The following is a 27,323-nucleotide window of genomic DNA, read 5'->3' as shown; positions in this document are numbered from 1 at the left end:
CAGGCGTGAGCCACTGCGCCTGGCCTATATTCAGAATCTTTTCTATCACATTCCTTAATGCTGCAGCGTTGGTATTTGGCACAGGCTTTTAGCACCAAAATAAGACAGACCATAGTTCAACCAGCACGTGCAATACCTTGTAATGGGTATGGCAAAAGGTAGTGCCCAGACAGGACAGCATGGTGAATATCACCTGGGAACATGGGAGAAATGAACATTCTAAGCCCCACTTCCTTTCTTAATGGACTAGGGCCCAGCAACCTGTGTTTTCACAAGGCTCCAGGTAATTCTGATGCATGTAAGGTTTAAAACTCCTTCCATTTCACAAGGTCCTCCCCAAATTACCACTTTCTCATTTCAGCCAGTTCCACACTTCAGTCAGGGCCTGTGACTTTTAACAAACCCTGTGTCTCTGCACAGATGCAGATCTCGTATCTCTCAGGATGCTGGCAGTTTCCAGGCAGAAAGCAAACAAGCAAACCAAACTCAAAGAGGCTTTGAGTAAATGCACGTTGTGGCTCCAAGACTATAGGGCATCGAGGTGGCCCTAGCTCCAGGCAAGGCTGGACGCAGCAGCCCTATGGTATCTCATGAGTCCTCTTTGCTTCTCTTTCTGATCTCCCTTTCCTGTGAGAGGCCCTGGGTGGCTGCCAGTACCTGCCAGTGTTACATGAATCCTTTGTTCATTTTCTGCAAGGAAGAGTGAGTCTGTGATCCCACTGGAAAAAAACATCACTAGGCCCTTTCGGATGTGACTGACTTAGGAACCGAATTTCCTAACCTGTCGCTGTGGTTATGGGGATGGGTTTCATTGATTTGCTTAAGTTAATCAAGGCACATAACTTGAATCTTTGGGTTTACTGAATTTTACATAAACTTAAAGCCTGAGAATGGTGCAGAAGGGAGATTTTCCTGAGGAAATGTGAGTTTCGGGCATCAGGAAACATGCAGAATAGATGCTGGTTAGGAAAAACAAGTTTTCACTATAATGTGTTTGTCTTTTTCCTGTTATTTTTGTCTTCGTGATATAAAAGGCACTAATACTTTGTGTGTGGTAAACATTTCTTCTCCTATGCTCTCTAGATTAGAAACTATTAGTCGTCCACTTTCCTGAATGACTTTATTTTTAATAAGATGCTGACTCGTGTATTTCCTGTTGCACAGTGAATGACTATTGCCCAAACCTAGGGCAAAAGAGACATAAACTCTTCATGATGTCAAGGTAACCACTAGAAAATGGGGCTACATACCCACGCCAGAACATACTGAGAAAGGTAGAACTGGACCTGCCATAGGCACTGCCCACCTTCCTTCATAGAAGCCAAAGATCGGGCACTGAGGATGCAGGAGGAGATGAGACAATTCTTAGAACAATGAGTCCTCAATAGAAATTGTCCATATTAAGGAACAGAAGGGAGTCCTTTCATAGTGGATGGACAAAGGGGTAGACAAGGAGACTGCAAGCGAAGGAGACACTTCATACTTGCCGTTTTTATTCCTCTTCTTTCCTGGGAACTGCACCCACAAAAATACATTATGTGGGATTGACCACATCCCAAATGCTAGGTGGCTCCTGATTAAAATAAGCTGATTTGCATCTTGAGTTTTTTAAACTTACCATAACATAAGCATTTCTCATGTCACTGCATTGTTTGTAAAGGCTGCCTAATAGCCAATTAAGGGAAGAGCCCATAATTTTCTCAGCAATTTCCATATCATAGGCATTTAAATTGGGTCCAATTTTAAGTTGCTATAAATATGCTGGGGACCAAATACACTTATGCATTGTTCATTTTTTCCATATTTGAATTTATTTCTATGGAGAATAGATTCCTAGACATGGACCCTCTTGGCCAAAGGCTAAGAACATTTATTTCAAGGTTCCTTATGCATATTAGCACCCACATTAAACACATCTTTAGGTCCTTGGCTTAGCGCATATCTCTCTTGAATGAACAGATGTCTGAAAGCCTGGCTGTACTCTCATCGCTCAGTAGCTCAGGCTTTGCTAATACAGCTCTGTCCATCTGTGTGTGATTGAAGTTGGGCTGTGCTGCTCAGGACTCCTGGCATCATTGCATAAGTCAAGTCTACGCCGTTAGAACAGCTGTGGGATAACATAGAAGTTTCTGCTCTGCCAGGGAAAATATGACTACAGAGCTTTAGTGAGAAGGAACTAGCTAAGTGTGGTCCGGGGTGACAACAATATCTCACGTCCTCTCACTGTGGAAACCACTTCCCCATAAACAGCCCCAAGACAAGTGAGCACTTGAACTGTTCCTGCAAATACCCTGAGCCCTGTGGTTACCCAAGACCCCCGTGCATGTGCAAGTCAACAAGATACCACGGTGCTTAAAAAACATCCTGTCTCATCAGCCCCGGTTTCCATCTTCCCATGACTCAGGGCTTACCTCTTTAGAGAAGGGGACACAGCTTGGACCCCAGAAGGGGGCTGGTGACTGAGTGCGCAAGAGCTCACTTTCTTGGGCCCCCACGTCCTCCTCATTCACGATGCCCCCCTGTTCCTGGGCCTCCTCTCACGAGTCAGTCTTTGTCCTGCCTTTTGCTGTTGTTCCCTGCACTCTCTGGCTGGGGTCAAACCACATCACCAAAGTCCAAGGACAAAGGTACCCAAGTGAAACAGAGAACTTCCTAAGGGATTTTCAAAATGCCCTGGGCTATCTGTTCGGGAAGATTTTCTTCCCCAAAGAGTTTTCAGTTTTTATTCTATAAATCTTAAAGGCAGGATACGGTCTTGTCCTACTTAGGGAAGGAGAACACTGAGTAGGTTTCAACAAGCGGCAGAACCCAGCTACAATCCCGGTGGCCAGCTGAGTCATAAAATTGCCACAGGTCTGCCTCACAGGTGATTTGCAGAGATGGCCTCTTGCTGGAAAAATCTCTTCTTAGACCATATTATGTTCCACCAGTAAAGCTGGAATAAGAGGCAGAATATTTAATTAGCTGCAATTCCTACAGAGGGAGACGGAGGCCAAACCTAAGGCTCAAACAGAAATGGAAGGGAAAAGTGGGGAAACAAGAAATCCCCAACTTCCTGCTGGTTCTTCTCACCCCCACATCCCCAACTTCCTGCCAGTTCTTCTCATCCCCAAATCATCCCCTGAACAGTGCTGTCTCCATCTGCTTCCTTCTGATTTTATCACTGGGTAGAAGGAGTTGGCTCATTTGTCCCCAGTGAAAAATGACTCAGGGTCACGCTGCTCCTTCCCTCAGAATGCCCAGGTCCCCAAGCACCCAGGCATCTGCTGCTTTTCCTAGGATCCCCAGAAGCCCCCTAGCAAAATGGTAGATGGCAATTATGAGACTCACTGCTGGTGCCAGGTGAGGGCTGGTGCTCCTGCCCATCTCTAGAGAGAAGCAGGACTTGGAGGGTGGCAGCCTGCAAGGGCACCAGTCGGTTTGAGGGCCATCCTGGGGACCCCAGGCCTTTGAGGTCCTATCTGGTGGTGGGACACAGGGAAGGGCCATAGAGGTGTTTTCTGGCCTGACCTGGGGTCTGCAAGGAACCACGGAAGAGCTGCCCCTGACAGAGGGAAGACAGGAGGAAGTGTTAGCCGGAAGAGGCTGCCTGAAGAGACCCCCTGAGCCACTGATGAAAGGTCTAGGGAGCTGAGGTTGGACAAAGAGTCCTGAGCAAGTGGACAGGCCCTACACTTGCCAAGACAGAGAGAAGAAGGTAGCACGGAACCAGGAATTCTCTTGCTGATTCCTCAATTTTTATAACTGTCTCTTTTAACAGCTTCCAGAATGAAAGTGGCTGAGGCTGGCAGGTCTGTGCCAACCCCATCGAGTTCTGGTGCCAAGTGCATCACTGACCTCAGAGTCGAATCCCTGAGTGACCTGGAAGCAACAAGACACTGTTACATTTGTGGCAAATTAGGAGGCAGGGACCCAGGCCCTAGGGACGTCCCTTCAATTCCTGAACCTACCCCTACCCAAGCAACCACACTCTGGGGCTCTTCTTAACATGCATTTCAACTTATCTATTTAATTTTTGTAATGTATTTCTATGCGTTCTTGACTGCTTGTCGGAAGGGACCTCACAACACCCTCTACGCCCCTTCCTCAGCCCCTCCAGTCACACAGCGGCTGACACATATTCAGGCACATGGCTATTCTTTGCGGCTCTCGTACAAGGTGGGTGGCTACGTTCAGCTTTTTCTAGAGGACATTGTTCCAAAGCTGTCAACCAACAAATATTTATAGAACATTATTTATCATTTCTGTGTTCAGCTATGTAAAACAATGAATTCGTTTTGAGTAAACCAGTCTTAAACTGTTGGTGATCCTATTGGCTTTGTTTTGTGACAAAGCAAGGTGGTGGGATGGGAGGGGAAGAGCAGAAAACTCTGAAGAGGGGAAGTCAGCAGAAAGGAAATGACGGTAATGCCTCTCCCCAAATAATGAAACTCTATTTTTTAAAACAATGATTATTTTATAAAGTATTATGCACCCAGTGTATAATGCATATGCACTAGGTAAATTCATGCTTGATATATATATTCATGCATTTAAGCTTATTTTTCTCATGAGTCAAGCTCTCTTAAAAATTATTCATTGTGCTTCAAATTCTAACAGTGTCTCCAAGGGCTAAGTATTATTAATATTCCCATTTAACAGAAGAGGAAATGTTGGCTCAGAGAGTTAAAACAACTTGTCCATGGCCATGCAGCGAATAAATAGTGTAACTAATATGCAATCCTATGAGCATTCCAGAACCACCTGGGATGGTCATTTAAAATGCTCACAAGAGAACTGGGTTTGGATGCGGGAATCTAGATTTTTACCAAACCCCCAAGTGATACACATGCAGACTAAAGACAAGAAACTACTGAACTTGTCAATAAGACTTTTTTTTTTTTTTTTTTTGAGACTGAGTCTTGCTCTGTCGCCCAGGCTGGAGTGCAGTGGCATAATCTTGGCTCACTGCAATCTCTGCCTCCCAGGTTCAAGCAATTCTTCTGCCTCAGCCTCCCAAGTAGCTGGGAGAACAGGTGCCTGCCACCACACCCGGCTAATTTTTGTATTTTTAGTAGAGACGGGTTTTCACCATATTGGCCAGGCTGGTCTCAATCTTCTGACTTTGTGATCTGACCACCTCGGTCTCCCAGTTTTTTGTTTGTGTGTTTGTTTTGTTTTGTTTTGACTTGTTCTGAGATGGAGTCTTGCTCTGTTGCCCAGGCTGGAGTGTAGTGGTGCCATGCCGGCTCACTGTAACTTCTGCCTCCCGGGTTCCAGTGATCTTCCTGCCTCAGCCTCCCAAGTAGCTGGGATTACAGGTGCATGCCATCACACCCAGCTAATTTTTGTATTTTTAGTAGAGACGGGGCTTCACCATGTTGGCCAGGCTGGTCTTGAACTCCTGAACTTGAGAGAGCTGCCTGCCTCGACCTCTCAAAGTGCTGGGATTACAGGCATAAGCCACTGCACCCGGCCTCAATAAGAATTTAACCACTCTTTCAAAAATAAGACACACATGGTAATAGACATCTTACCTGGGTATTATTTCCCTAGAATCCATGCTCCACAAAATCAGTGGTTAACATTAGAGAAAGGAAAGACAGTCAGCCAATATATACAATAAGACTTCTATCGTGAATGCAGAATTACTTGATGGATTGCCTAGACTGAGGTTAAGAAACTATGGTCCTCAGAACAAATCTAGTATGACCCCTGTTTTGTAAACAAAGTTTTGTTGAAACACAGCCACTCCCACTCTTTTATATATTATCTATCCCAGCTTTCCAAGACAAAGGTGGAGTCACATTGTTGCAACAGAGATTATATAGCCCACAAAGAACAATATTTACTATCTGGTCTTTTATAGAAAACGTTTGCTAACTCCTGGCCTATGTTTTAGTATATACTTTTTTAAGTATAAGAAAGTTAGACTGAGTCAGGATTCCTGCTGTACAATGCAAGGGGGAGAAATTCAACACACTTGTGAGAAATGCAAAATATATTAACTTTTTGATAAGCCCTACTTACTTTGTGTGTTTAAAACAATCTATTTTTTAGTATCAAAAAGTGACATTTTGGTAATCAGCATTTTTAAAAAGCAATGACACAGTCTGTAAAAAAATTTAAAATTTACATACTCTTCAGTCTATCTTATTTCTAGGAATCTATTTCAAGAAACACTATCTAAGGAAACAAAGGAGGGCCAAGCACGGTGGCTCACCCCTGTAATCCCTGCACTTTGGGAGGCCAAGGCAGGTGGATAGCTTGAGGTCAGGAGTTCGAGACCAGCCTGGCCAACACGGGAAAATCTCATCTCTACTAAAATACAAAAATTAGCCGGGCATGGTGGCAGGCGCCTATAATCCCAGCTACCTGGGAGGCTGAGGCAAGAGAATTGCTTGAACCTGGGAGGCAGAGGTTGCAGTGAGCCGAGATCTTGCCACTGCACTCCAGCCTGGGCGACAGAGTGAGACTCTGTCTCAAAAACAAAAACAAAAACAAAAAAGAACCCCCCCCCACACACACAAAAATTGTTGGCACACCGCTGTTGTTTGCAGCTCTGTTTGTAAAAACAACCAATATAAATCAACTCTTTAAAATATGGATAGTTTAAACCATGATGGTACAGCCACATAATAAACATGAAATTACTGAAAAGAATAAAGTAGATATACATACTGAAAACAAAGCTATCTATGATATTAATGTAAAACTAGGTATATAGAATATATTCCATATGTGGAGAAAGAAGCAGAATGGCAGTTGCCAGGGGCCGGGGGAGGAGGAATGGGGAGGTGTTGTTTAATGGGTCCAGTTTCAATTTTGCAGGATGAAGAGGCTTCTGGAGATGGGTTGCACACAGCGTGAAGGTAGAAGGTACTGAGCACGACTGAACTATACGGTAAAAATGGGTGGGTGGGTGGGTGGGGAGTGAAGGAGCAAAAAGAAATGGTTGAAATGGGAAATTTATATTTGTGTATTTTAGCACAATAAAAAACACCAAGAGTCTCCCAGGACTGGTAGTGCTCATTGAATGCTCACAACAGCCACGTAGGGCAGGGACAATCAACCCTATTTACAGATGGGCAAACTGAGACTGACCCTTAGAAGAGTGCACAAGCAAGGGTGCACCCCGGGGCGTCCAGCCTCCCCCAGGCCCTCCAGAGGCCTGTGCCAGTCCTGCTTCAGCTTGCTCACCCTGGGCCCCTCCCCACACCCCAGTCCCAGCTCCCCACGACCCAGCCCCAGCCTCCCCACGCCCCAGGACCCCGGCTCTTCCGGGAAAGGCACCACATCCCCGTCCCTGCAAAGCTGGATTTACACAGAGAAAGAACTGGGGACTGGGGGAGCCACCATGGCTCAGGGCCTCCCATCTGCACTTCCAATGCCTGAGGGATACACCCCTAAGTGGACCCCTAAGCAGACCCCCAATCCTGGAGAGATGGGGGGGTCTTCGCTCCGGGGGGCACTGGTCATCCCCACCTTCAGCTTCCGGTGGCACATTTGATGCTAGGGAAACTCCAGACTGGCAGCCTGCAGGCCCTGGTGAGTGCCCAGGCCCAGCGCAGACACCCCTGTTGCTCAGGGGAGAGGCCCTGGAAAAGCCTGAACGGGACTCTCCCCAGGCAAGGTCCACATCCCAGGCAGGGCTGGGGTTTGACGCTGGTTTTCTGAGTGACACGGCGGGGGCCACAGCTGGGCTGGGGCTGGTGGGGTTGGGGAGGGGTCTCCCATCCCACCCCCACCCCACACAAACCGATTCCTTGCTGGACTGCGACCTCTTCCGGCCTCGGTTTCCCAGCCAGTCCCGGCCGGGCCGGACAGGCACCCTCGGGGGCGGGAAAAGGTGCCAGAGCGCCCGCCGGCCGGGCCTTAGCCTCGGGACTCCGGCGCTTGCCTGCTCCATGGGGCTCGGGGCTCGGGGCTCGGTCCGGGAGGAGGGGGGTCCTTTCTGCTCCAGGACAGCTGGCGCGACCGGTGGGCAAAGGTCCGCGGCCCTGGAGAACGCCACGGCGGGGTCCACGGACACCAGAGGAGGAACCGCCAAGGTTTTTCCAAAGGACAAGCGGCCCGGCCCGGCGGTCCTCCTAGTTCTTCGGCCCGCGCGCCACCCGGGAGGCCGAACCGGCCCCAGCCCGGGGCCCCCTCTCCAGCCCGCCCCAGCCCCGACCCTCCGCTGCGGGGCCCTCACGGAGCGGCCGGCCAGCGGGGAGCGACTAGGCTGCCGGCTGCAAGGCGTGTCTCCCCGGGACGCAGCTCCGCCCTTCCCAGGAACACAAGCGGCTGCCCGCGCCTGAGCTCCCAAAGGGCTGGCGGGCAGGGAGCGGGCGCCGCGCCGGCTCCCCGGAGCCCAGCCCCGGAAACGGGACACCCACAGCGGGTGCCCCCAAACTTCCCACCTCTCTGGTCCGGTCTGGGGAGGGGTCGGGGCCGGGGCCGGTGGGCAGGGCGCGGAGAGCTCATGGAGCTCTTAGGGTCTGCGGCCCCGCGGCTGGGGGTTATGCCAAGGGAGAAAGCGACGACGCGATGGGGAGGGACCGAGAGCACCCCGAAGCCGGGACCATCAAGCCGGAGCCAGTGGAGGGGCGCGAAGTCGGCGAGTTGGAAACTAACTGCAATCGTCCACTCGTAGCCTTCGGCGTCCGGCTCGTCCTCTGGCGGCTTGGCGGGCGGCTGCACAGGGCTGGACCTGTGTTGGATCCTCAGGCTCCGAAGATATGGTCCCCATCCTCGTCGTCGTGACACTCGGGACAAGTGGAGAGCCATCAGGACAGGGACCCACAGAACGCACACTCACATGTTCCTGCAGGTGCCAGCACATGCTGGGCTCCGCTCTCACGGGACACACGCAGGTGTGCAAGGACAATGCAAGTGCACACACACATGTGCAGACACGTAGTGGAAGCATCCACTCGCTCACACCTGTAGGACACACACACACAAACATATGCACACATACAGAGTTGGTTGAGGATGCTGTAACACAGTACACCCCCTAATGCACGTGCGCGTCCCCGCGTGCACACACACACACACAGGTGATCCAGGGCACCCAGGGCAGAATCTTCCCCAAGCACCCCTAACAAGAAGCACAAACATGCACCCATAGAAGTAATCGGGGGACCCTGGGCACAACTCCCTCTCTCCTTCCCCATCTACCAGGACATGGAGTCACACTCCTAGGCATGTGTGGACAGGCTGCCTACACACTGGCAGGACATGTACATGCTCAACTTTACAAGGACACTGTGGGCACACTCTGCGCACACGTATTCTCAGGTCACATGAACACAGCACTTTGTAACCTGGAGTCAGTCCCTCACTTGGTCAGTGAGTGGGCTGAAGCACCCACTGGGACAAGGTGGCTGAGAACCAGGACAGGGCCTGGTCAGGAGGGGTTGAGGGCAGGGCCTGGGAAGTGAGTGATGCAATGAGGTTGGGCATGATGGCATTGGTACCACCCCCCACCCAACCACCCACTGCAGGCCTCCCACATAATCGGGTCACTAAACAAATCCCAGAGGGCCCAGCCCCACCTGTTGCCTGGCTTTCCAGAAACAGAACTCGGTTGGGAATGGTTGCTGCTTGGACAGGTCTGTCCCCAGAAAGCCCTGGGCATGGATGGAGTCCTGTCTACCCTCTGGTTTCCACTGACACATTTATCTACCAACATTCTGTCCAAGTCTCCTCTTTGGAGCCCTCACCAGAATCACCCTTAATGAAGAGTCACAGGGAGAAGATGTCCACCCACGCATGAGGAGACAGGCCTGGAACAGAGCCTTCCTGCACAGCCTCAGAAGGGACCCACCCTGCTGACACCTTGATCTTGGACTCATGGCCTCCAGTACTGCGAGACAGTAACATTCTGTTGTTGAAGGTGCCCAGTCTGTGGTACTGTAAAACAGCCCTAGGAAACTAACACAGCCTGTTAGCCCACAGACGGTGGAGAGATGGAATGCTCTATGGAGCTCCAGGTTTACTGTCTGCAGCTCCCAAAGTGTGCTACGGGACCCTTGGGTGGGTGAGGTATGCAAGGTAATTTTGGGTGGTTCAAGGTGAATAATTTAAATTGACATAATAATATATTTATCTTGCTGGGTAAATCGGATCCCCACCTGTTAGGAACCAGGCAACACAGCAGGAGGTGAGCAGCCAGCCAGTGAGCAAAGCTTCATCTGTAGAAACAGCCACTTCCCATCCCTCACATTACTGCATGAGCCCTGCCACCTGTCAGATGAGTGGTGCCATTAGATTCTCATAGGAGCATGAACCCTACTGTGAACTGCGCATGCCAGGGATCTAGATTGCGTGCTCCTTATGAGAACCTAATGCCTGATGATCTCTGACTGTCTCCCATCACCCCCAAGTGGGACCACGTAATTACAGGAAAACAAGCTCAGGGCTCCCACTGATTCTATGTTATGGTGAGTTGTGTAATTATTTCATTATATATTACAGTGAAATAATCATAGAAATAAAGCACACAATAAATGTAATGGGCTCGAATCATCTCTGCACCATCCCTTCCCCTTCTCCCAGGTCCGTGGAAGAGTTGTCTTCAAGAAAACTGCTCTCTGGTGCCAAAAAGTTTGGGGACCGCTGGTGTAAATGTTTCTAAGAATAGTTAAGCAACTTAAGCTTCACATGCTACGAAGAATACAGCTTTAAATGCTAATAAAAATAGGTGCAAATGAAAACACTCTTTCTGTGGTCCAGGGAATCTTAACCATTCTATCAGAAAGACTTGCAGCTTGGAGCTGCAGCTGCCCTCCCACATCCTGTCCACTGTAAAGCCCTGCAACACACACATACACGCACACACACACACACACGCACACATGCACATACATACACATGCATATGCTTGCATACACACATGCACACAGATGCACATACATAAATACATTCACATGTATATACCTGCACACACACACATGCACACACACATGCATATTCCTGCGAACACACACACACACACACACACACGCTGTGCTTCATGCCCTCACTAGGGTGGCCTGGGAGGAAATGCGTGTTTTTAGGAGAAATGAAGACAACTCAGGCCCCTCATTCTCCTGGTGTTTGCACAAGTGCCTTCTCTGCAGACCATGCTTCAGCCTCTTTCTTGGTTCTCCCTCTTACTGAAAGAGAGAAGCAGAGGCCCAGCACATACTCGGCTGCTTAGGGCTCAAGCCAAGTTCGCAAGCTTCCTGGGGAGCCTAGTGAGATGAAGGCACTGCAGAGCCTCCCCAAAAGAGTCGTCGGCTTTTCGTGGATCCTTGAGCCCAGGAAGGCGATAGGTGAGACATCACAGTTCATCAGAAGACACGAGCAAACTCCGGCGAGAAAGGGCAACGGTCAAAGATTTTATTCTCTCGGAAAAGGGTTCTCGGGCTGTAAGCAGCAGGCAGAAGACTTTATTGCACGCGTAGTTAGGTGATGGCGACCTACGGTTTTCACTGGGGACTGGGATCGAGAGTGACCCGACCTCCTACTCATGCTCGTCTCTCCCTGTCTCTCTCTTTGCCTTTTGTGTCTCTCTGCCTGTCTCTCTCGCTCCTTTTCCTCTCAGCCTCCTCTGTCTCTCTCCTTATCTCTCATCCTCTCTCTATCTCACTCCCTTCTCCCCATCTCTCTTTCTCTCTCCTTCTTTTCCACTTCTCTCACCCTCCTCATCTCTCTGCCTGCCACTGTTCAGGCTCCTGGGGCCCCACGTGGATGGGCGGACACAGGACTCCTAGGCTACCTTTCATAGCGCAAGCAGAGGGCTGCAGGACCTTGGTCCCCACCTCCCAGCATCCTCAAAATGAGGGGTGTGGGGTGTGCCGTGCTCTCCTGAGTGGGCGCCCCACACTCCAGGAAGCAGAAACTGCAGGTCACAGCTGGCTCGAGTGGTGCCCACGGGGCTGCCAGCTTCCATCGTGTGATCTGCTGAGGCCAAAGCAGAGGACAGCAGCCCAGGCCCATCTCTGCAGCAGGGTGGGGGTAGGGGTGGGCTTGGGGGTGGGGATGGGGATGGGAGCCGCCAATGCAAACTGGCCCCTGGCTGGTTTCCTACCCTGCACCCTGCCATGCAAGTCCTCCTCTCCTACCCCTACCCCTGTCTGCCCCACCTCCACCCCTAGGCTGCCCCACACCCAGGCTCCAGAAGTCTCCCAGGATCCAGGAACTAAGGGCAGCCATTGGGTTCCATAGCCCCTAGTCCATGAGTCAGCCACCCCTCTGCGTGCTGACAAACCTTGGCTCTCATGCCCCACCCCAAGCCAAGCACACAGCCCTGTCCCCCCACCAGCATTATCACCGCCTCCTGATTTTGGCCCTGACAGCCCTGCTTCCTGGTAACCTTGCCCCCTCCCACCCTGCTCCAGGCAAGCCCAAAGGCCAGGCCCTCCACCCACCCTTCCTGGGGGCCACTCTACTATCTCCTTGCCCAGATGTCTTAACCTGGCTTTACCAAGATAGAATAAATAACAGGGATGAGGCCCCGGACCCCGCCAGGAAGATGTGCCAAAATACCCTCCATTTAGAAGCGGGAACAGTGATGGGGCCTATGGATGACCCCAGGATTGTCACCCAAGCAGCAAGAAGGGCAAGGAGCCCGGTTTCCTGCCCTTACCCAGGGAGGACGTGGCCAGGGCTCCAAAAGGCCCTGGAGAGGGGTGGGCAGGAGAGCAGATCCACCCTCCTCTTGAGGAAGCAGCCACCATCCCCAGGAAGAGCAGATGGGGGCACACAGGAAGAGTCCCCACGTGCTGTAGAGCAGGGCCAGCAGAACTGTACTCAGCCCCAGCCCCAGGGGAGCTACAAGATAGATTGAGACCCTCACAGGTTGGGCTCTGTGTCCCCACCGAAATCTCATCTGGAATTGTAATCCTCCTTTGTCAAGGGAGGAACCTGGTGGGAGGGGATGGGATCTGGGGACAGTTTCCCCCCTGCTGCTCCCCTGATAGTGAGGGAGTTCTCAGGAGAGCTGATGGTTTGAAAGTGTGGCACTTCCTGCTTCTCCGCTCACTCCCTCCTGCCGCCTTGTGGAGAAGGTGCCTGCTTCCCCTTCGCCTTCTGCCATGACTGTAAGTTCCCTGAACTGGGAGTCGATTAAACCTCTTTCCTTTATAAATTACCTAGGCTCAAGTATTTCTTTATAGCAGTGTGAAAACAAACTAATACCCCTTCCCTGAGGCGCCTTCTCCTTAGGCAACCCGCTGCCCCCATGCTCCTCCTCTGCCCCCTGTCCTTTCTTTTCCCCTCATGAGGCCCAAGTGATAAACGGGGCCAGCCCCAGTCCCAGCCCCAGCCCCAGCCCCAGCCCCATCCTACTGCAGGCCTGTGTGGCTGCTGGAGAGGCCGTGTTCCTTTCCTCTCCCCGAGCCTGCCTGATATGCTTTCTGGATCCTGGAGGAAACTGACCCCCTATTCTCATACTGGTGCAACATCTTCCAAGACCTCAAAGCTGTACCATTTGAGCCAGTCTTTTTTCTTATCTCCACTTGCTAGGGCTGTCATTGGGACAGTCCTAGAGGGTGGTGCCAATGGATGAATGGATGGATGGACAGTAGTCCAGGGATGATGTCCCTGTCTGTCCTGAACCGGGCCCTTCCTCCAATGAGAAGCCTTCCTGAGTGAGTATATACAGTCATCCCTTGGTATCCATGGAGGATTAGTTCTAGGGTCCCCGGGAATGCCAAAATCCATGGATGCTCAAGTCTCTGATAGAACATGGCCTAGTATTTACGTATAAGCTATGCGCATCCTCCCGTATACGTTAGACCGTTACTAGATTATGATGTGTAATACAATGCAGATGCTACATAAATGGTCGTGATACTGTATTCTTTAGGGAATGATGACAAGAACAAAGTCTGCACATGTTCAATAGAAACATAACCATCCAATTTATTTTCTGAATATTTTCCATCTGCTGTTGCTGAATCTATAGATGCAGAGCTCCTGGATACGAGAGCCAAGTGTGCTTTGAGAGTAGGGTGGGTGAGGTTGCTAATGAGTACAGGGGAGCAGGTGTTGATCAGGAGGGCCCTGCACTGGGGCATCTGGACGTCCTGCCTCAGGACTTGAGACTCCAGTTGGATGGCACAGACAGACTCAGCCCAGGTCAAAGCCGTCCCCTTGAAGTTTCATTTTATCCCAAGCTCTTTCTGGACCCTGGAATTTGGCATCCCCTAGGCCCTGCGTGGAAGGACAGATGAACCAGGTTTTAGATAACATGTCTAGAAGAGTGAGCCCCTACTGTGTGCTCGGCACTTTCCCCACAGGATCCTCTAGCTAGAATATCCAAGGGTCATGGAGAGAAATACCCAGTTAAAATATCAGAAATGAAAAAGCGATACCATTAGATACACTAAAAAGACCATTAGGTAATAGTATTAGCTTTTGTATTCTGAGATCCAACAGCAGCAGTCACTTCCCTCCACCCCTATGTGTATCCCAGGACCACCCTGGGCGGGGAGGGCTGAGGTTAGGGAGCAGCCATGGATGCTCTGATGCTGGCCCTGGGCCTCGGGGGTGACAGTGATGAGGAACTGGGTGCACACATGAGTGGGGCAGCCGGGCCTGGCCAGAGAAGCAACACACATGTGCACAGACATGTTTACCCACATACACGTGTGCACGCACGTGCACAAACACGTTGCAGGCAGGCATGTTGACGCCTCAGGCAGCGGAGGACCCTGACTCTGGGTGCTGCTGACCCGGGCAAGGCCCCACTGTGATTCGTGCCATGACCTCAGAATGTCACTGGTGCTTAGCACCTATCTGCTCTCTGGCCTGCCTCAGTGGTCTACAGCAGTTACACACAGGCAGTGGTATCTGTGAGCAGCTCTGTGGACTCAAAGGTTTTCTCCCTGAGAGGCATGACCCAGGCCAGCTGATTCATCAGAATCAGGTGAGCGTGACCTGCTCTCTTCCCTCCAGGCGGACTTGGGGACAGTGGCTACGGTGCGGGCGGTGTTGGCCTCTGTGGGGCAGCTACCGAGGAGGGTCATCCCTGAGCACTCACCAGGCGCCCGTTCTACACTGCCCGTGTAGACGATTGGCTCTTTCGTCTCCATGGTGGCTTCGTAGAGTGGGTGCTGTTCCCAAATGTCCCCATTCGACAGATGAGACGTCTGGGGTCAGAGAGGCAGTAACCGGCCTGGGAATCCGGACATGACCCTGAGTTTTGCTCTCAGCCCTGCCGTGTGCTGTGCTGGAATTCAGGCCTGAACCCTGTGACCTCCCTGCCCTAGATCCCAAATCTGCCCAGGTTTCCCATCCCGATGGGGCAGAGCCTGGTCCTGGCAGAGCCACTGGTATAGAGCCACTGGTACAGATCCACTGACGGTCCTCAGAACACCTCTGTGCCCTAAGCTGGGTCCTGATGGTCGCTGTGGGCCCCACTGAACACACATGGTGCCTTGTCCGGGGGAGCCTGCTGCCCTTGGGCAGCTGTGGAAAATGAAGGAGCCCTGGAGGGCTGGCTGAGGGGAGACTATCTTCCCTTGTGTTCAAAGGGGTCCGGGCACTAGGGTTCTCCCCAGGTATTTCTTGCTCTGCGTGGTCCTCTTGAAGCCTCGCCCTCCTTTTGCCTCGAGTATTCCCAGGAGGGACGGTCCATCCAGCTGTTCTCCAGGACCAAGGACCCACTGTTCTTCCTCAGTGACCCAGGAAAATGAAGCCTCCTCCTGTTGGGACGGCTCAGAATGGTGGACTCCACAGTCCCTCCGCGAGAGACGTGGTTTCCATGCGTACAATAGATCTTCCTCATCCCCCAAACCCAACACCCTCCTGCTCAACAGGCGTTATTCCTAAAGTGGCTTCACTGTTCAGACTGAAGAGCCACGGTAGCCAAAGTGATGAGCGGAGTAGAACCGAGCAGTCGGGAGAGATCTTGTTCCCTGTAGGAAACTGGGCATCTCTGAGGCCCTGAGCATCCCAGGAGGCCGATTGCACAGAGACCTCTGGTCGCTGACCCCAGTCTGCCTCCACATCCCTGGAATAGCCCATCATGGGCCCTTCACCCTTGGCAGGTGGAAACCATTCAACCTGCTGGGGCCGGTGTGTCCCCATTTCATGGCATTGGGGGACAACAGGATTCTCTGTCTAGGTCCCACTGTACTCAAGTCCTTGGGAAGATGCCCACCCCTGCTTGGGACTTGAGACTCCAGAGACTGGAGCAGCTGTGGGCCACTGGGTCTGGCCCCTTTTTCCCTGGGGGCGGCGGTGGAATGGGGGTTACGCAGCCAGCCAGCATCTGGGAGCCCGGCGAGAGCAGTTCAGGTGTTCTCCGAAGCCGCCGCGTACAGTGTGACCTTTAGACAATTTTGTCTCACAGGATGGACGTGGTAGAGGTCGCGGGTAGTTGGTGGGCACAAGAGCGAGAGGACATCATTATGAAATACGAAAAGGTACAAGTCGGTCTGCTTCTTGGAGGGAGGCCTCTTCCAGTGTGCCCTGGTCAAAGGGTCTTGGGCTCCCTAGGAGCACAGGGCAGGGACGGGTGGCCAATGCCCCCAGGCCCTTGCACCCTTTACCTTGGACCCCTCACCAAGGCTCCCTCTGGGCTACAGGGACACCGAGCTGGGCTGCCAGAGGACAAGGGGCCTAAGCCTTTTCGAAGCTACAACAACAACGTCGATCATTTGGGGATTGTACAGTGAGTCCTCTGCACTCCCCTCACCCCTAAAGCACCTGTCTCAGCTCAGGGATGGGTTTGCTTTTAGAAAGGCCTTTCTGACGCAGGACATGTCTCACCAGGTCGGGTCAACCTCCTTTCCAGGGACAGAACTCCTCCCTGACTCCCCTGCAGGTCCAGCCCGAGGTTGTTAGGCCAGAGGTGTGGGGCCCATCTAGGGAGCCGGTGGGAATGGAGACTGGGCTAGGTCAGGCCCCTGGGCGCTCAGCAGTTCTGTCGGCAAGTGAGCACAAGAGGAGCGGGGCAGCCTGAGGGTCTGGCCCTGTCTACTTGGAGACAACCCCGGTGAGATGCAAGGGTTATGGCCACAGGGTGAGGGGACGCCTGGCCCAGCCTCAGGGCTGTTGTCCAGCAGGTCTCTGAGGGCCCACCTGCCCCTGTTCTCCCCCATTCCCCTAGAGCTACAGCCCTCACTGTCCCGTGAGGGGAAAAGGCATGGTGACAATGGGGGCTGTAGCCCTAGGAGAACGGGGGAGAAGATGGGCAGGGCCCCGTTCTGGGCATCTCACGGTGAGGCCAGGGAGGCAGCAGGGCTCGCGGCTAAAGACCTGGGTCTGGTGCTGGGAAGGGATCTGGGGCCGGGTAAGAGGAGCCCAGCCAGGAGCCCATCCCTCAGGGATCACAGGATGGAGAGACAGAGGATCCCTGGGGAGGTAGGGCGGGAGGGAGCTGACGAGCCGTGCCACTTCTGAAACGCAGGGTGTGTGGCTCGGGTGCAGGGAGAGGCAGGTGGATGCTGGGAGGTCAGAACCTGCAAGGGCCTTGGGGCTGTCAAGTGGGGTGGGCCCCTGGTGCAGCCAGAGTACACCGGGCAGGTCTCAGGGCAGGCTCCCTTGACCCTGGCGGGGGGATGTGGTCACTCCCTGAGGGACTCCTGTCAGGGCCCGGTCGCCCACCCTGGGCGGCCCCCATCCCATCTCAGGGCTAACCTTTCTCAGCTCCAGCAGAAAGCACCACCTCGAGTCCAGGACGGGCAGCCCCACTGGGCAGCCTGACCGCCCCCCACGCCAGGGGCCCCAGTAACCCCGGCCAGGCTGTCCCTACACTCCTTCTTCTCCCAGGTCCTGCCCCTCCTGGGAGTCAGCCCCACAGGAAGGCCCTTGTCCTCCCTTCCCTGTGCCTTCTCCTGGGCTGAGCCCTGAGCTGGAAAGGGACAGAGCCAGTCCTTTCTGGGGGTCGGCACCCAGGCTGGGGCCGCTCCAGGCCCCGTGCAGTTCCTCAGCTCTGCCTGGGTTGCCTTACAGTGAGACGGAGCTGCCTCCTCTGACTGCGCGGGAGGCGAAGGTAAGAGCCTGATGCGTGGAGGGGCTGGTCCAGGGACGTAGGGACTGGGCGGGTGGTCAGTGAGGCAGAGGAAGCAGCTGGCCTGAGCGGTGGCGGGTGAGGGCAACACGCTGTCACTGGGAGGGGCAGCAGTCCCTGCTGGACCTGACCCCAGGTTGCTGTTCACTTTGGCAGTTTGATAAAATTCCAAAAGGAGAACCACAGTCCTGGCTTGGGGGTGGCTGCGCGCTTGTGTCAGGACCCCACCTAGAGGCTGGGACCTAAGACTGGTGTGTCTGTGGCCTGAGGATGGTACATCCCGGGGTCCCAAAGCCAGCCCACTGGTGCTCATTTGCTCAAAGGCTCTCAGCCCTTGAGGTCTGCCCTTCCCTGGCTCCTTCCAGCTGGCTCCCACCAGGGCTCCAGAGCCCAAGACCCAGCATCCGCGGGCGGCTCTGGGAAGCCTGGCAGCTCCGCTAACTCCAACATGCCTCATTTGACAGCAAATTCGGCGGGAGATCAGCCGAAAGAGCAAGTGGGTGGATATGCTGGGAGACTGGGAGAAATACAAAAGCAGCAGAAAGGTAACGTGTGGAGGGAGGAAGCACTCTCTGCAGAGACAGGGGACAGGCACCCATGGCTGTGGCCTGGCACCATCAGCCTCTCAGAGGGTGGGCGGCACACTGTCCTCGCCCAGAGGACTGCAGGCCTGGTCGCCAGATTTCCTGCCTATTCGTGCAAGCGTCACCTTGCAGGGAGGGAATCTGAATCTAGGGCTGGGACTACCCGGAGCTCAAGGCTAGGGATGCCCTGGTGACCTGAAGGAAGGAAAAGGTTCAGATCAGAGTTTCGACTCTCAGTGTCCATCCACTCTTTCAGTCCTGGGAAGGGAGACCCTGTCCCAGCTTGATCTCACCTCTACTGAGGAATCATGGGGCCAAAACCGACAATTTCCAGAATCCCCGGGCTCTGGTCCTCACTGGGGTCACCCCGTGGCCTGTGACACCAGATTGTTTTCTGCCCACAGCTCATAGATCGAGCGTACAAGGGAATGCCCATGAACATCCGGGGCCCGATGTGGTCAGTCCTCCTGAACATTGAGGAAATGAAGTTGAAAAACCCCGGAAGATACCAGGTACGCTCAGCCAGAGCACAACAAACAGGACAGGCCGTGTCGGGGCCCAGGTCTCCAGCTGGAGGGAACGTCAAGACCACCCTGGGGAGCTGGGGGTGAAGGTCAGATGAACACCCTGGGCACAGATGGTGACACAGTCACCACAGACAAACTCAGCTCTGGTGACCCTCCCTGGCTTCAGTAACAAGCCAAAATGCAGCTTTCTGCAGAAGGAAACCTTCCTTCTGTCCTTCCTTCCCGAAGTGCTGACTGTGGGCTGACTGCCACTGGGGGCAGGGAGTCTTCCATCTGTTCTGAGACTGCTTCCTCCGCTTGGCCCTGCCCTACAGATCATGAAGGAGAAGGGCAAGAGGTCATCTGAGCACATCCAGCGCATCGACCGGGACATAAGCGGGACATTAAGGAAGCATATGTTCTTCAGGGATCGATACGGAACCAAGTAAGCCTACGGGAGCCACAGGGTCCCAGCAGAGATGGGGTGAATGAGAGGGATGGGGGCTTCCCCGGAGCAGAAGCCAGGGTCACCCAGGAGGGATGACACAGCTGCCAAGAGCTCTCCCGGCCCAGGGAGCAGCCGGCACCATGAACCGAGCACCTCCCTGGTTCCAAGCCCTGGGCCAGACTGGAACATGTGGGGCCAGAACCCAGGAGGATCCTGAGGAGATGGAAGGCAGCAAACAAAATCATGCACAATGGTGAAGGGTGCTCTCCCTGACCCATGGGGACCCATGGTAGGACCCACGGGAGGGTGGCAGGATAGAGGGCCCATGAGCCCCCCCAGGCAACAGTGACAGCACCAAATGCTGGGAGAATTAGGGGTCCTGGAAACTCTCATCCAGGTCCGCTGGGAACATGACATGGCACAGCCACGTTGGCAGCCAGTTGGGCAGTGGCTCACAAAGCTCGATGGACTTGAACCACACATCCCCAAAGTGTCACAGATATTGAACCCACTGATTTGGAAACTGACATCCACATGAAACCAGCATGCCAGGTTCACTGCTTGACTCCTCGTCACTCACACACGGAGCCTTCGGGGACGGCCTTCAACACGGGAATGGGGAGAGCAAGGCTGGTCCTCCCTTCAAACGGAAGACCCAGTGAGAAAAGGGAACGAGCCGGTGATGCCCGCACGAACGTGGGTGGATCCTAGATGCATTTTGCTGAGGGACAGAAGCCAGACCCAATAAGCTACCACCGTAGGATTCCCATTCCTAGGCCATTCTGGAAAAGGCCAAACCACAGGGACTGAGAAGCAGTCTGGGTGGCCAGGGGCTGACGGATCAGGGAGAGGCTGGGTGCATAGGGGCCACCCTGGAGACTTGGAGGATGAAGGAGTCGCCCCAGGAGGGGCTGGAGCGGTGGCCGGGAGACTCTGCACATTGGTTTGGAACCGTGGAGGAACTGTACACCCACAGACTGAACTGGCGTGTGTGCAAACTGAAAAAAAAAAAAAATCATTCAGAGTGAAAAGGATCAGGCAAGTCACTGTACAACTGGGCTATTTGCATGTCACAGATGTGGATTTTACTGAAACATTTCTTCAAGAGTCTCAGGCCCTGAAGAGCTCACTGCTTATCTGGTGAAACATCTGAACCTGAAATGGGATTTGCTGTTAGGCTTTGTAGACAAAGTGAAATTAACAACATCTGCACAAAACAAACCAAAGCCCCCTTTCTCTGTTTCCTAGGCAGCGGGAACTACTCCACATCCTCCTGGCATATGAGGAGTATAACCCGGTGAGTATTCCCGGCAGTGAGGTTCCCGGGCCATATTTCCATATTGACAGGAGTGGGTGTCTGGTGGGGGTGTCGTTGCTTCTTTTAAAGTTAGTATTTGTGACCCACCAGGATATAGGAGGTAGGATGTCAGCTCACCGCTGGCATAAACCTCCAAGGAAGGGGGTGGTCTCAAGGGGTCAAGCTGAGACACAAAGGAGTCAGGGCCCGGACTCCTGGTGTCACCTGGGCCTGACCACCACTTCTCAGAACAAGAAATGACGCCCTCCTCCTGGGGCTGCCCCAAAGCCCAGGAGCTTGGCAGCATCGCACACAGGATGGTGCTATCAGCAGACATTTTGGACAAGGTGCTGAAGTGCCTGATGGACTTGGCTCTTGTCATGAAATGAATGTGCATCCTGAGGAAGCCTCTTTTTCAGAGGAAGCCTCTCCTTCAGAGGAAGCCTCTCCAGTCACCTCTGCCCTCTCCAATGACATGAGTCCTCCCAGGTGACCTCAGCCCTCCCAGGTGATGTCCTTCCATGGTGACTCTGGCTCTTGCAGGAGGTGGGCTACTGCAGGGACCTGAGCCACATCGCCGCCTTGTTCCTCCTCTATCTTCCTGAGGAGGATGCATTCTGGGCACTGGTGCAGCTGCTGGCCAGTGAGAGGCACTCCCTGCAGGGTAAGTGAACAGCTGCCCCGGGGACCTCCTGCAGCCAGACCTGGGGATGGCCACCCTGGCCGGGTGATCACAGCTTTCAGCCAAGGCACCCTCCTTGTGTCGCCAGCTTGTTGGGAGACTTTAGGATGTCTCTGCTGAGGGTCCCACAGGAGTCCACGGCTGACCCCCAAAGCCCAAATCAGACGCCTGTCATCCCCATCAGCAGAGGGCATCTCATCCTCCCCGTGGCCACCCTCTGTGTCCTGGAGCCACGCCCTCCGGCTCTGATTCTGTGCAGCTGACTCTCCCCTCCCTGAGAGTCCTCCTGCCCTCCAGCTGCCCGGGCTCCTGCTGCCATCGGTGCCCACGAATGGGCCGACCAAGCCCAGGTGGCAGCATCTCCCCATCCCCTGTTCCCCTGGCCCGACCCCACTACCAGGAGATGACCGGGAAGCCCAGCGCCCACCCAGTTCCGGCCACCCTGTCGTGGCCTGAAAGTCAGGCTTGCCCTTTTTGCACCCTGGCCCAGGAGGCCTCCAGGGGAACCTCCAGCCAGGCTCCAGGGAATGTTCCCGCCCCACCTCCCCAGGGTAAAGGCCGCATGTTGGGGTCACCAGATGGGAGGGTGGGAGTAGCCTTGGGGTTTGGGGGCCTCTCCAGCTGCCCAGCTCTTGCAGCTGATGGCTCCACATCTTGGGGGAAGGCTCTGATTTCATGATGGGCTGGGGGCTTCTCAGGATTTCACAGCCCAAATGGCGGGACCGTCCAGGGGCTCCAAGACCAACAGGAGCATGTGGTAGCCACGTCACAATCCAAGACCATGGGGCATCAGGTGAGTTTATGGTCCCCTCAGCTCTTCCCAGAGGCCCTGCCTCCCGTGGGGCTGTAGGAGCAGGGGGGCTGGGGCCCCTCGTGGGGCTGGTGACTGGCTGAGTCCCAGCCAGGGCCTGACCTGGGACGTTGGGTTCTCCATGGGCTGGGAGTTGGTTTCCTTTCCTGCCCTGGAGGAGACAGAGGCACAGGGATGGGGGCCCAGCTCCCGCAGAGCAGGGCAAAGGGCAGTGTGTCCACCGGGAGTGTGGGAAGGTGACAGTGTTGTGGGGAGCTCTGGACACCGCCCAGTGTTCTGCACTAGGGGAAGGGTCTTCAGAGGCCCTGGAAGAGGGAGGTTTTTAGGGTAGCCCAGTGGCCTGAGCACCTCTGTTGCTTCCATCAGGACAAGAAAGATCTATGTGGGCAGTGTTCCCCGTTAGGCTGCCTCATCCGGATATTGATTGACGGGGTAAGGAGGCATAGGGAGACCCTGGCTCAGGGACCTTCCTTGCCCTGCAGTGCCCTGCTTCCCCAGCCCGGGGGTCTGGCTCACTCCCAGCCCACAGGAGGCTCAGGCGGGTCCCCAAAGGACACACAAGCAAAACCCTCTGCCCAAGAGGAGTCATCCCAGGGCAATGGCTGGGGCTCAGGCCCAGCCTCATGGGCAGACTGGGCCAGGACCCAACTTGAGAGGGCTCAGGGAAGCCTCAAGCCCTGGGCAAGCCCCTCTCTCCAGGAGCCACATCCCCACTCAAATGAGTGCCCCCCATGAGGAGCTTCAAGACCTTGTCTGACCCAGCGTCCTGGAGGGCTCAGCCGACCCTCATGGGGAAGGTCACTGACTCTGGAGACTGAAGCCCCAGTGTGTGCAGCTCGAGCCACCAGCCCCAGCCTGGAAGGACCAGGTTCTTTCACACCTGCTGTCCCCACAGATCTCTCTCGGGCTCACCCTGCGCCTGTGGGACGTGTATCTGGTAGAAGGCGAACAGGCGTTGATGCCGATAACAAGAATCGCCTTTAAGGTTCAGCAGAGTAAGTCTACGTGTGCCCAGCGGGGCCTGGGGAGCCCTGGGGTCAGACCCCGACTGGCCCGAGGGCAGCTTCCTCACACTGTCCTCATGATCCGCTGTTCTGGCCCAGAGGGAGGTCCGGCCAGGTGGGCTGGGCAGGACACTGTGACACCGAGCCCATCCCTCACATGACCCAGATGAAAGTCGAGAGTGTGGTGAGCACTTCCCTGTCCGGATCGCCCCCCAGCCACAGTCTCCTGTGTATATCTGGACACCTGGGGTGGCCACAAAAGGATCCGGCACCGCCCAGTAGGAGACTGAAGTGGCCACGGGGTATGAGCTGTGACCATTCCCAGGTAACTCCCCTGGCCTGATATCCACCCTGTCCCTAGAGCGCCTCACGAAGACGTCCAGGTGTGGCCCGTGGGCACGTTTTTGCAACCGGTTCGTTGATACCTGGGCCAGGGATGAGGACACTGTGCTCAAGCATCTTAGGGCCTCTATGAAGAAACTAACAAGAAAGCAGGGGGACCTGCCACCCCCAGGTGGGCTCCAGTGCCATGTCCCCTCCCATGTCACCCTCTGGGGTAGTCAGTAGTAGGGGAGTGCCCGGGACCCGCAACCCTACTACCTGGGCCTTCCTCTTCACCTTTTCTTCCTCCTCTTCCTCCTGGACTCTAAGAAAGTACAGGAGGCCCACCGGTCCTCAGGGCAGGCGCTCAGTGCGTGTATACTGGACATGCTGTGCACGCAGGAGGGGGATGTGGGCAAGACCCTCCAACAAGCCCCCTCCCACTTTCCACGGTGTCTCCCTCTCCCCCTCGCAGGGCCCTCCAAGTTACTAGACGAGCCCAGACCCATTTGTGGGAGACCCCGCCCCTCCCTGCAAGCACCCACAGCCTCAGAGAGCAGCAGAGGCCCCTCACTCCTGCACGCTCCTCCAAGGTTGCCAGGACAAGAAGCCTGGAGCCAGGGAGTCAAGGGAATCGGTGTCCCTGACCCACAGAGCATTCAGGGAGAGGGCACAGGCGGGACCCCGGGCCCAGAGCCAGAGCCAAGAGTTCAGCCAGAAGTGGGAACGGTCAGTCCTGGCATGGACTGGGCAGCCCAGGAGGGCAGAGGGTGACCCACGTCCGGGCCCAATCACCCACTGCGGAGACGGGTCCCCACGTGAGGTGACAAGGGGCTGGGTGACATCCAAGGCCCCTCCCACCTGAGTTCTGACTGGGGGCCGTATCCCAGGCCCAACAGCCCTGGGACGAAGGTGTGTGGCAGGAAGCCCCCAGCCAGTCTGAACCCTGGGGGCAGTCCCAGGAGCCACCCGCCATGCCACGACAGCTTCCCCACGCCAGGCAGCATGCACCCCTCCCTCTGGGATCAGCAGACTACAGGCGTGTCCTCGGTGTCAGGCCACGGGGGCCACACAGAGACCCCGAGGACTCCGAGATGCAGGCAGGTGGGGCCCAGCCCGGAAAGGCCTGCGTGGGCTCACTGGAGATGCTGACCGCGTCTGTTTTCCTTTCAGCCAAACCCGAGCAAGGGTCGTCGGCATCCAGGCCTGTGCCGGCTTCACGTGGCAGGAAGACCCTCTGCAAGGGGGACAGGCAGGCCCCTCCAGGCCCACCAGCCCGGTTCCCGCGGCCCATTTGGTCAGCTTCCCCGCCACGGGCACCTCGTTCTTCCACACCCTGTCCTGGTGGGGCTGTCCGGGAAGACACCTACCCTGTGGGCACTCAGGGTGTGCCCAGCCCGGCCCTGGCTCAGGGAGGACCTCAGGGTTCCTGGAGATTCCTGCAGTGGAACTCCATGCCCCGCCTCCCAACGGACCTGGACGTAGAGGGGCCTTGGTTCCGCCATTATGATTTCAGACAGAGCTGCTGGGTCCGTGCCATATCCCAGGAGGACCAGCTGGCCCCCTGCTGGCAGGCTGAACACCCTGCGGAGCGGGTGAGATCGGCTTTCGCTGCACCCAGCACTGATTCCGACCAGGGCACCCCCTTCAGAGCTAGGGACGAACAGCAGTGTGCTCCCACCTCAGGGCCTTGCCTCTGCGGCCTCCACTTGGAAAGTTCTCAGTTCCCTCCAGGCTTCTAGAAGCATCTGGGCCAGGGCTCATGGCTGGATAATTTCCCTAGGCTTAACAACCCAAGCAAGCTTCGCGTCCTCGTTTTATTTTTGGTTAAACTTATGAATATGTATTAAGAAAGAGTGCAGCTTGAGAGACATTCAGAGATGGAACACACCAGACCCCAGATCACAAAGCCAACCATGCCCAGCCCCTCCCAGCACCCCAAGCCCCACGACCATCGTTCTGAATTCTGACGACACCGTGAGCCTGCCTTTGTACTTTAAACTCATGGAAGGATAACTACCTTCACGTTTTGAAATAAATGTTTCCTGTTGAAATGCTTTTAGATTTTAGACAGAAATATTGAAAAGGCACTATAGTGTCCTCCTATACCTTCCATCCAGCTGCCCCTAATAATGATGTTTTGCAGTCCCATGGCACATAAGAAATTTAGGCCGGGTGTGGTGGCTCACACCTGTAATCCCAGCAATTTGAGAGGTCGAGGTGGGAGGTTCAGGTTCACTTGAGTCTAGAAGTCTGAGACCAGCCTGGGAAACCTAGGTGGACCCGGTCTCTAGAGAAAAGTCAAAGAAATTAGCCAGGCATGGTGGCGTGTGCCTATAGTCCCACCTAGTCAGGAGGCTGAGGCAGGAGGATTGCTGGAGCCCACGAGTTCCAGGAAGCAGTGAGCCATGATTGCACCACTGCACTCCAGCCTGGGTGACAGAGTGAGACTTTACCTCTTAAAAAAATTTGAGAAATTTAATGTGGGTACAATTCTATTAACTAAATAATAATGTGAACTATTATCTAAGGTTATGAAGGCTAGAATTATCCCATTTTTGCCTAACTTCTCGTACCTGTCCCAAGATCCCACCTTGGACTCACCCTCTGCCTTCAGCTCATGTCTCTTCAGCTTCCTCCACATGGTCCAGCAAACACACACCTGGGCTGAATGGTAGAGCTGATTGCTCATACACAAAGGTAGACCGGTGGGCAGGGATTTTCAGACTTATAGAGTAAATGAGTTTTCCTTGGTGTTCTGGAGAGCACCGTTTGAGAAACACTTTGACAGTGAATCTAGGCCTCAAGATCCATCAGCTGCTCTAGCTTGAATTTTGCTCAAGCTCAGTGAACACCTGCTCTGCCGGGTGCACGTGAAAGGGACAAGGATGAGAAAGCTGTAGATAAAGAAGACAGGATGCAGGGGGTCTGTCTAAGCTCTATCCCCTGCCTTCAGCACTGAGGGATGAAATCCAACTCTTAGGGAACGGTGGCCACGTGCTGGGCCAGCCCCAGGCTCTCAGGATCTGACAGTGGGTGACGCAGAGCCAGGCCTTGCCCCTGGGGAGCTCTCCAGCATACACCTCCCTCTCCCCTCCCAGCGTGCCGCAAAGCAGGCGTCAACGCCATTGTTAATGCACGGAGGAGGAACCTGACTGTTAGACCTGGGTTTTCCAGGGTTGCACGGCTTCTGGGAGACGGATGTGACCCTGAGGACAGGGCACAGGCCAGTGTAATGCCAGGATGGAATGAGCTGTGATCTGTGCTGTATAGAGGCCTAGGCCAAGGTGGGACTGACGGATGACCAGGTCAGCCGGGTCACTGAAAACACTCTTGGGTCCTCACCTGCCGGTTCCCAGGAGTCCGGAACTGCCAGGAGAGTGGTGGCAGGTCCCCCATCCTCAGCTGGGTGGGCCTGGATAGAACAGCAAGGCGAGGGCACATTTCCCTGGGCATTCCCTCCAGGCACAGCTGTGACCTGTTCATTCCAAATTGGTGGAAGTATTTCCACACACACAGAACTGCAAATAGCAGTGGACATGGTGAGAGGCGTTTGCACATGGGATAGGCAGGATTTTGGAGGAAGAGCCTCCAGGGCTTGCCGATGGGTTAGCTGCAGGGCTTGAGAGGGAACGGAGAATCCAGGATGATGTGTTCAAATCGGTCCATTCACCTCTTCCGTTCCACGCCTGTGCTGGGCAC

At 54.6% G+C, this 27,323-nt stretch overlaps 2 protein-coding genes across 3 annotated transcripts, besides 3 other annotated features; one reads left to right on the top strand and one right to left on the bottom strand.

Annotated features, from left to right (window-relative positions):
- Nucleotides 1-1,849: 1,849 nt before the first annotated feature.
- LOC128966684 (uncharacterized) lies at nucleotides 1,850-8,748 on the bottom strand. The gene is made up of 4 exons (XM_054328434.1): nucleotides 8,521-8,748; nucleotides 7,739-8,395; nucleotides 3,331-3,544; nucleotides 1,850-2,935 (listed from the first exon to the last, which is right to left on the bottom strand). Exons 1-3 carry the CDS (start codon nucleotides 8,746-8,748, stop codon nucleotides 3,458-3,460), a joined length of 972 nt encoding a protein of 323 aa, XP_054184409.1. The 3' UTR covers nucleotides 1,850-2,935; nucleotides 3,331-3,457.
- Nucleotides 8,114-8,625: an enhancer, noted in NCBI's record as "H3K27ac-H3K4me1 hESC enhancer chr17:34598171-34598682 (GRCh37/hg19 assembly coordinates)". NCBI's record gives its function as "activates a minimal SCP1, AML or CMV promoter by ChIP-STARR-seq in naive H9 embryonic stem cells {active_cell/tissue: H9 hESC(naive)}" and the evidence as "EXISTENCE:reporter gene assay evidence [ECO:0000049][PMID:30033119]".
- Nucleotides 14,317-14,817: an enhancer, noted in NCBI's record as "H3K4me1 hESC enhancer chr17:34503901-34504401 (GRCh37/hg19 assembly coordinates)". NCBI's record gives its function as "activates a minimal SCP1, AML or CMV promoter by ChIP-STARR-seq in naive and primed H9 embryonic stem cells {active_cell/tissue: H9 hESC(naive and primed)}" and the evidence as "EXISTENCE:reporter gene assay evidence [ECO:0000049][PMID:30033119]".
- TBC1D3B (TBC1 domain family member 3B) lies at nucleotides 14,722-25,675 on the top strand. 2 transcript variants are annotated; one of them, NM_001001417.7, is made up of 14 exons: nucleotides 14,722-14,878; nucleotides 16,307-16,379; nucleotides 16,542-16,627; nucleotides 17,911-17,950; nucleotides 18,433-18,513; nucleotides 18,957-19,064; nucleotides 19,394-19,503; nucleotides 20,755-20,803; nucleotides 21,347-21,467; nucleotides 22,184-22,278; nucleotides 22,663-22,728; nucleotides 23,192-23,291; nucleotides 23,662-23,814; nucleotides 24,795-25,675. In NM_001001417.7, exons 2-14 carry the CDS (start codon nucleotides 16,308-16,310, stop codon nucleotides 25,361-25,363), a joined length of 1,650 nt encoding a protein of 549 aa, NP_001001417.6. In that variant the 5' UTR covers nucleotides 14,722-14,878; nucleotide 16,307; the 3' UTR covers nucleotides 25,364-25,675. The 2 variants fall into 2 exon arrangements, with proteins under 2 accessions (NP_001001417.6, XP_005258037.2); XM_005257980.5 differs by having other exon boundaries at nucleotides 17,728-17,950.
- Nucleotides 16,547-17,047: an enhancer, noted in NCBI's record as "H3K4me1 hESC enhancer chr17:34501670-34502170 (GRCh37/hg19 assembly coordinates)". NCBI's record gives its function as "activates a minimal SCP1, AML or CMV promoter by ChIP-STARR-seq in naive H9 embryonic stem cells {active_cell/tissue: H9 hESC(naive)}" and the evidence as "EXISTENCE:reporter gene assay evidence [ECO:0000049][PMID:30033119]".
- Nucleotides 25,676-27,323: the final 1,648 nt, after the last annotated feature.

The sequence above is a fragment of the Homo sapiens genome, chromosome 17, assembly GCF_000001405.40.
Source record: "Homo sapiens chromosome 17, GRCh38.p14 Primary Assembly".
NCBI lineage: Eukaryota > Metazoa > Chordata > Mammalia > Primates > Hominidae > Homo > Homo sapiens.
This window is presented reverse-complemented; position numbering and strand designations above follow the sequence as displayed.